We start from the raw sequence: 9619 nt of genomic DNA, 5'->3' as shown, positions 1-9619 counted from the left end.
CATTCCATTCCATTCCATTCAAGTTCACTGCATTCCATTGAAACCCATTCCACTCCACCACATTCCACTCCAATCCTCTCCACTCCACTCCAACCAACTGCACCCCACTCCACTCCTTTCAATTCCCTTCCTTCCCATTCCATTCCTCTACAGTCCACTCCACTCCACTCCATTCAATTCCATTCCACCCATTCCATTCCAGTCCATTCCTCTCCACTTCACCACATTCCATTCGATTCCATTTGATGCCATTCAAATCAACATTTTCCATTCGATTTGATTCGTTTCGATTTAATTCATTTTGATTCCATGTTATTCATTTTCATGCTATTCGATTCCATTCCATTCCATTAAATTTTATTCCACTCCAGTACATTCCATTCCACTCTACTCCTTTCCATTCCATTCCATTCCATTCCATTCCATTCCATTCCACTCCACTCCTCTCCACTTCACCGCATTTCATTTGATTCCCTTCGATGCCATTCGATTCCATTTGATTCAATTCCTTTCTATTCCATTTGATTCCATTTTTTCTATTCAATTCAATTTGATTCCATGCAATTCCATTCTTTTCCATTCCATTCAAGTCCATTGCATTCCATTGCAATCGATTCCACTCCACTCCATTCCACTCCAATCCATTCTGCTCCACTCCATTCCACTCCACTCCACTGCACTCCACTCCACTCTGCTCAATTCCATTTCTTCCCATTCCATTCCATTCCACTTGAGTCCTCTCTACTTTACTCCGCTCCACACCATTCAATTCCATTCCACCCCATTCCATTCCACTACATTCCAGTCCACTCCACTCTACTTCACTGCATTCCTTTCGATTACATTCGATGCCATTCAAGTCCATTCAATTCTATTCCATTCGATTACATTCTATTCCATTTTTTCCATTCGGTTCGATTTGATTTGCTTTGATTCCATGCGATTGAATTCCATGCAATTGGATTCCATTCCATTCCACTCCATTCCATTCCATTCAACTCCACTCCACTCCACTCCTTTCCACTCCACTCCACTCTGTTCAATTCCATTCCTTCCAATTCGATTCCATTCCACTCCAGTCCACTACACTCTGCTCCATTCCACTACACTCCATTCAATTCCATACAACCCCATTCCAATCCACTCCACTTCACCACATTCCATTCGATTCCTTTCGATGACATTTGAATCCATTCAATTTGATTCCATTCAAATCCATTCGTTTCCATTTTTTCCTTTCAATTCCATTTGATTCTATTCCATGTTATTCGATTCCATGCTATTTCATTCCATTCTATTCCATTCCATTCCATTCATCTCCATTCTCATCCGTTTCATTCCACTCCTCTCCACTCCACTCCATTCCTTTCCATCCCATTACCTTCCTCTCCATTCCACTCAACTGCACTCCACTTCACTGCATTCCATTGGATTCTATTCGATTCCATTCGAATCCATTCGATTGATTCCATTCGATTTTATTTGTTTCCATGAGATTCCATGCGAATCCATGCAATTCCATTCCGTACCATTCCATTCCATTCCATTCCACTCTATTTCTCTCCACTCCATTACAATCCACTCCACTCCACTCCTCTCAATTCCATTCCACCCCATTCCATTCCATTCCGTTCCACTTCACTCCACTTCACCACATTCTATTCGATTTCATTGGGTGCCATTCAAATCCATTCGATTCAATTCCATTCAATTCCACTTTTTCCATTTTATTCGTTTCGATTCAATTCAATTTGATTCGATACGATTTCATGCGATTTGACTCCATTCAATTCCATTCCTCTCCACTCTACTCCATTCCATTCCTTTCCATTCCATTCCACTCCATTCCATTCCTTTCCACTCCACTCCATTCCATTCCATTCCACTCCACTACATGCCACTGCTCTCTGTTCAATTCCATTCCTTCCCATTGCATTGCATTCCACTCCAGTCCACTCCACTCCAGTCCACTCCACTCCACTCGACTCCACTCCATTCAATTCCATTCCATCCCATTCCATTCCACTCCATTCCACTCCACTCCACTTTACAGCAATCTTTTCAAATGTGTTCGATGTCTTTCAAATCCATTCGATTTGATTCCATTTGATTCCATTCTATTCCATTGTTTCCATTCGATTTGATGTGATTCGACTCGATTTAATGTGATTCAATTCCATTCCATTCCATTCCATTCCAGTCCAGTCCATTTCATTCCATTCCACTCCACTCCACGCCATTCCACTCCAATCCACTCTAATCCACTCCACTCCACTGCATGCCACTGCACTCCACTCCACTCCACTCCGTTCTATTCCATTCCTTCCCATTCCATTCCATTCCACTCCAGTCCACTCCACTCCACTCCAATCCACTCCACTCCTCTTCACTGCATTCCATTTGATTCCATTTGATGGCATTTGATTACACTCGATTCCATTTTTTCCATTTGATTTGATTCATTTTGATTCCAAGCTATTTGATTACATGCAATTCAATTCCATTCCATTCCATTTCATTGCATTCCATTCGGTTCCACTCCATTTCACTCCATTCCACTCCACTCCACTGCACTCCACTCCACGCCACTCCACTCTGCTCAATTTCATTCCTTCCCATTCCATTCCATTTCACTACAGTCCACTCCACTGCACTCCACTTCACTTCATTCAATTTTATTCCACCCAATTACATTCCACTCCATTCCACTCCACTCCCCTCCACTTCACCGCATTCCGTTCGACTCCATTTGATGCCATTCAAATCCACTTTTTCCATTTGATTTGATTTGATTTGATTCGATTCATTTTGATTCCATGCAATTCGATTTCATGCTGTTCGACTCCCATTGCATTCCATTCCATTCCATCCCATTCCACTCCACTACATTCCATTCCACTCCACTCCATTCCATTCCACTCCAATCCACTCCACTCCACTTCCACGCTTTCCATTCGAATCCATTTGATGCCATTCTATTCCATTCAATTCAATTCCATTTGATTCCCTTTTTTCCTTTTGATTTGATTCAATTCATTTTGATTCGATTTGATTCCATGCAATTCCATTCCATTCCATTCCATTCCCCTCCACTCCACTCAATTCCACTCCAATCCACTCCACTCCACTTCACTGCACTCCAGTCCACTCCAATACACTCCACTTCGCTCCACTGCACTCCATTCAATTCCATTCCTCCCCATTCCATTCCACTCCATTCCACTCCACTCCACTTCACCGCATTTCATTTGATTCCTTTTGATGCCATTTGAATCCATTTCATTTGATTCCATTCGATTCCTTTTCCTTTTGATTCAATTTGATTTGATTTGATTTGATTCCATCCGATTCAATTCCGTGCAATTTGTCTCAATTCCATTCCATTCCATTCCAGTCCACTCCATTCCATTCCTCTCCACTCCACTTCACTCCATTCCTTTCCACCCCATTCCTCTCCACTCCACTTCACCGCATTCCACTCGATTCCATTCGATGCCATTCAAATCCATTCGATTCGATTCCATTCGATTCCATTCAATTCCATTTTTTTATTTGATTCAATTTGATTCGATTCCATTTGATTCCTTTTCATCCCGTTCCTTTCCAATCCATTCCTTTCCACTTAATTCCTTTCCATTCCATTCCATTCCACTCCACTAAATTCCTCTACAATCCACTCCACTCCATTCCACTCCACTCCACTGCTCTTCACTCCACTCCACTGCATTCAATTCCATTCTTCCCATTCCATTCCATTCTATTCCAGTACACTCCATTCCTTTCAATTCCATTACACCCCATTCCATTCCACTCCATTCCACTTCACTCCATTCCACTTCACTCCATTCCATTCCATTCAATTCCATTTCCTGCCATTCCAATCCGTTTGATTTGATTCCATTTTATTCCATTCAGTTCCATTTTTTCCATTCGAGTTGATTGGATTTGATTCCATTCTATTCAATTCCACTCTACTCCATTCCACTCCACTCTAGTTCATTCCACTCCACTTCACTCCATTCCACTCCTTTCCACTCCATTCCTCTCCATTCCACCCTACTCCACTCCACTCTGTTCAATTCCATTCCTTCCCATTCCCTTCCATTCCACTCCAGTCCTTTCTACTCCACTCCACTCAACACCTTTCAATTCCATTCCACCACTTTCCATTCCACTACATTCCAATCCACTCCACTTCACCGCATTCCATTCCACTCCAATCCACTTCACTCCACTCCTCTCCATAGAGTTCCAATCCACCCCAGTTCACTCTAAAACATTCCACTCCACTCCACTTCACTGCATTCCTTTCCATTCCATTCAATGCATTTCGAATCCATTCCTTTATAATCCTTTCGATTCCATTGGATTCATAATTTTCCGTTTGATTCGATTTGATTTGGTATCGTTCCATGCGATTCCATTCCTTTCTATTCCACGCCATTCCTCGCCATTCCATTCCATACCAATCCACTTCATTCTTTTGCATTCCACTCTGCTCCACTCCATTCCATTCCACTCAACTGGACTTCACTCCACTCCATTCCTCTGCACTCCAGTCCACTCCACTCTGCACCACTCCAATCCAATCTATTCCATTCCATTCCAATCCAATCCACTCCACTCCACTGGAATCCACGCCATTCCACTACACTCCATTCCAATTCGTTCCTCTCTATTCCACTCCACTCCAATTCACTGCCTTCCATGCCATTTTATTTGATGCCATTCAAAACCATTTGATTCGATTCCATTGGATTCCATTGGATTCCATTGTTTACATTCTATTCGATTCCATTCAATTTCATTTGATTTCATTTTTTCCATTCGATTCGATTCAATCTAATTTGATTCCCTGCGATTCCATTCTATTCCATTCCATTCCAGTCCATTCAGTTCCATTCCCTTACATTCCATTCCATTCCAATCCACTCCACTCCATTCCTGTCCACTCTATACCATTCCATTCCATTCCTCTGCACTCCATTCCATTCCAATCCACTCCATTCCACTCCATTCCATTCCACTCCATTCCACTCCACTCCACTCCATGCCACTCCACTCCACTGCACGCCACTCCTTTCAATCCCATTCCTTCCCTTTCCATTCCACTCCAGTCCACTCCAATCCACTCTGTTCCATTAAATTCTGTTCCACCCTATTCCATTGCACTCCTTTCCACTCCACTCCGCTCCACTTCATCGCATTCCATTCGTTTCCATTCACTGACATTCAAAACCGTTCGATTCTATGACATTCGATTCCATTTGCCTCCATTTTTTCCATTTGATTCTATTCAATTCGATTTGATTCTTTTCAATTCCATGCGATTCCATTCCATTCCGTTCTTATCCATTCCATTCCAGTACGTTCCATACCATTCCATTCCATTCAACTACAATCCTCTTCATTTCACTGCACTCCCCGGCACTCCACTCCAATCCACTACATTCTACTACACTCCATTTCGTTCAATTCCATTGCTTTCCATTCCATTCCATTCCACTCCTCTCCAGTCAATTCCATTCATCCCATTCCATTCCACTCCACTCCACTCAACTCCACCTCACTGCATTCATTTCGATTCCATTCAATGTCATTCGAATCCATTCGATTTGATTCCATTGGATTCCATTTTTTCCATTCAATTTCATTCAATTCGATTTGATTCAGTTCCATGTGATTCGATTCCATTCCACTACATTCCATTCCATTCAATTCCATTGCATTACATTCCATTCCACTCCACTCCATTGCACTCCAAGCCACTTCAATCCCCTACAGTCCAATGCACTACACTCCACTTCGCTGCAGCCCACTCCACTCCATTACTCTCCATTCCACTCAATTCCACTGCACTCCATTAAATTCCATTCTAATCCACTCCATTCCATTCCACTCCACTCCATTGCATTCCATTCCATTCCACTCCACTTCTTTCCACTCCAATCCACTACAATGCAGTCTACTCCAATCCACAGCACTCAATTCCAATTCACCCCTTTCAATTCCATTCCGGCCCATTCCGTTCCATTCCACTCCAGTCCACTCCAATCCACTCCACTCCATTCAATTCAATTACACCCCATTCCATTCAACTCCATTCCATTGCCCTCCAACTCACCGCATTCCATTCATTCTATTTGTTGCCTTTTGAATCCATATTATTCGATTCTACTCCATTCCATTTTTTCTGATCAATTTCATTAGATTCGATTCACTTCGATTCCATTTGATTCCATTCCATTCCATTCCATTCATTTCCACTCCATTTCACTGCACTGCACTTCACTCCATTCTATTCCATTCCTTTCCATTCCATTCCATTCCACTCCAGTAGACTCCAATCGACCCCACTCCATTCAATTTCATTCCACTCCATTCGTTACACTCCACTCCACTTCACCACATTTCTTTTGATATTATTCGATGTCAGTTTAACCAATGTGGTTTGACTCCATTCGTTTACATTTGATTTCATTTTTTCATTCGATTTAATTCCATTCGATTTGATTCAATTCCATGTGATTCAATTCCATCCCACTCTGCTCCACTCTATTTCAATCCACTCCACTCCACTCAACTCTACTCCACTCCAGTCCACCGCACTCCAATCCTGTCCTCTGCATTCCATTCCAACCTATTCCACTCTACTCCACTCCACACTATTCCACTCCATTATGCCCCATTCCACTCCACTCCACTCCGTTCAATTCCATTTCTTCCCATTCCACTCCTGGGCACTCCACTCCACTCCACACCATTCTATTCCATTCCACCCAATACATTCCACTCCACTCCACTTCACCGCGTTTCATTTCATTTTGTTCGAAGTCAGTAGAATCAGTGCAATTCGATTCCATTCGTTTGCCTTCGATTCCATTATTTCCATTCCATTTGATTCCATTTGATTCATTACCATGCGATTTGATGCCATTCCATTCCGTTGCACCCCACTCCACTCCATTCCACTCCAATGCACTCCACTCCACCTCACTCTAGTCCACTCCACGGCACTCTGCTCCGATCCACTCCACTCCACTCCAATCCATTCCAGTCCACTCCAGTCCATTGCACTCCATTCCACTCCAATCCACTTCACTGCACTCCTCTCCATAGATTTCCAATCCAGCGCAAGTTTACTCTAAAACATTCCAATCCACTCCACTCCATTGCATTCCTTTCCATTCCATTCAATGCCTTTCGAATCCATTCCTTTAGAATCCTTTCGATTCCATTGGATTCATAATTTTCCGTTTGATTCGATTTGATTTGGTATCATTCCATACGATTCAATTCCATTCTATTCCACGCCATTCCACGCCATTCCATTCCATAACAATCCACTTCATTCTTTTGCATTCCACTCTGCTCCACTCCATTCCATTCCACTCAACTGGACTTCACTCCACTCCATTCCTCTGCACTCCAGTCCACTCCACTCTGCACCACTCCAATCCAATCTATTCCATTCCATTCCAATCCAATCCACTCCAATCCATTGGAATCCACTCCATTCCACTACACTCCATTCCAATTCATTCCTCTCTATTCCACTCCACTCCAATTCACTGCCTTCCATGCCATTTCATTTGATGCCATTCAAAACCATTTGATTCGATTCCATTTGACTCCATTGGATTCCATTGTTTACATTCAATTCGATTCCATTCAATTTCATTTGTTTTCATTTTTTCCATTCGATTCGATTCAATCCAATTTGATTCCCTGCGATTCCATTCTATTCCATTCCATTCCAGTCCATTCAGTTCCATTCCCTTACATTCCATTCCATTCCAATCCACTCCACTCCATTCCTGTCCACTCTATACCATTCCATTCCATTCCTCTGCACTCCATTCCATTCCAATCCACTCCATTCCACTCCATTCCATTCCACTCCATTCCACTCCACTCCACTCCATGCCACTCCACTCCACTGCACGCCACTCCTTTCAATCCCATTCCTTCCCATTCCATTCCACTCCAGTCCACTCCAATCCACTCTGTTCCATTAAATTCTTTTCCACCCTATTCCATTGCACTCCTTTCCACTCCACTCCGCTCTACATCATCGCATTCCATTCGTTTCCATTCTCTGACATTCAAAACCGTTCGATTCTATGACATTCGATTCCATTTGCCTCCATTTTTTCCATTTGATTCTATTCAATTCGATTTCATTCTATTCAATTCTATGCGATTCCATTCCATTCCATTCTTATCCATTCCATTCCAGTACGTTCCATACCATTCCATTCCATTCAACTACACTCCTCTTCATTCCACTGCACTCCTCTGCACTCCACTCCAATCCACTACATTCTACTACACTCCATTTCGTTCAATTCCATTCCTTTCCATTCCATTCCATTCCACTCCTCTCCAGTCAATTCCATTCATCCCATTCCATTCCACTCCACTCCACTCAACTACACCTCACTGCATTCCTTTCGATTCCATTCAATGTCATTCGAATCCATTCGATTTGATTCCATTTCATTCCATTTTTTCCATTCAATTTCATTCAATTCGATTTGATTCAGTTCCATGTGATTCGATTCCATTCCACTCCATTCCATTCCATTCCATTCCATTCCATTCCATTACATTCCATTCCACTCCACTCCATTGCACTCCAAGCCACTTCAATCCCCTACAGTCTAATGCACTACACTCCACTTCGCTCCAGTCCACTCCACTCCATTACTCTCCATTCCACTCAATTCCACTCCACTCCATTAAATTCCATTCTACTCCACTCCATTCCATTCCCCTCCACTCCATTGCCTTCCATTCCATTCCACTCCACTTCTTTCCACTGCAATCCACTACAATGCAGTCTACTCCAATCCACAGCACTCAATTACAATTCACGCCTTTCAATTCCATTCCTGCCCATTCTGTTCCATTCCACTCCAGTCCACTCCAATCCACTCCACTCCATTCAATTCAATTACACGCCATTCCATTCAACTCCATTCCAATGCCCTCCAACTCACCGCATTCCATTCAATTCTATTTGTTGCCTTTTGAATCCATATTATTCGATTCTACTCCATTCCATTTTTTCCGATCAATTTCATTAGATGCGATTCACTTCGATTCCATTTGATTCCATTCCATTCCATTCCATTCCTTTCCACTCCATTTCACTGCACTACACTTCACTCCATTCTATTCCATTCCTTTCCATTCCATTCTATTCCACTCCAGTAGACTCCAATCGACCCCACTCCATTCAATTTCATTCCACTCCATTTCGTTACACTCCACTCCACTTCACCACATTTCTTTTGATATTATTCGATGTCAGTTTAACCAATGTGGTTTGACTCCATTCGTTTGCATTTGATTCCATTTTTACATTCGATTTAATTCCATTCGATTTGATTCAATACCATGTGATTCAATTCCATCCCACTCTGCTCCGCTCTATTTCAATCCACTCCACTCCACTCAACTCTACTGCACTCCAGTCCAACGCACTCCAATCCTGTCCTCTGCATTCCATTCCAACCCATTCCACTCTACTCCACTCCACACTATTCCACTCCATTATGCCCCATTCCACTCCACTCCACTCCCTTCAATTCCATTTCTTCCCATTCCACTCCTG

General features: G+C 42.6%; 2 annotated features.

Moving 5' to 3' along the window:
• Positions 2653–3342: an enhancer, noted in NCBI's record as "OCT4-NANOG hESC enhancer chrY:28798753-28799442 (GRCh37/hg19 assembly coordinates)". NCBI's record gives its function as "activates a minimal SCP1, AML or CMV promoter by ChIP-STARR-seq in primed H9 embryonic stem cells {active_cell/tissue: H9 hESC(primed)}" and the evidence as "EXISTENCE:reporter gene assay evidence [ECO:0000049][PMID:30033119]".
• Positions 3515–4284: an enhancer, noted in NCBI's record as "OCT4-NANOG hESC enhancer chrY:28797811-28798580 (GRCh37/hg19 assembly coordinates)". NCBI's record gives its function as "activates a minimal SCP1, AML or CMV promoter by ChIP-STARR-seq in primed H9 embryonic stem cells {active_cell/tissue: H9 hESC(primed)}" and the evidence as "EXISTENCE:reporter gene assay evidence [ECO:0000049][PMID:30033119]".

This window comes from Homo sapiens, chromosome Y (assembly GCF_000001405.40).
Source record: "Homo sapiens chromosome Y, GRCh38.p14 Primary Assembly".
NCBI classification, from domain to species: domain Eukaryota; kingdom Metazoa; phylum Chordata; class Mammalia; order Primates; family Hominidae; genus Homo; species Homo sapiens.
The sequence above is the reverse complement of the archived record's forward strand: the minus strand, read 5'-3'. Positions and strand labels throughout refer to the sequence as shown.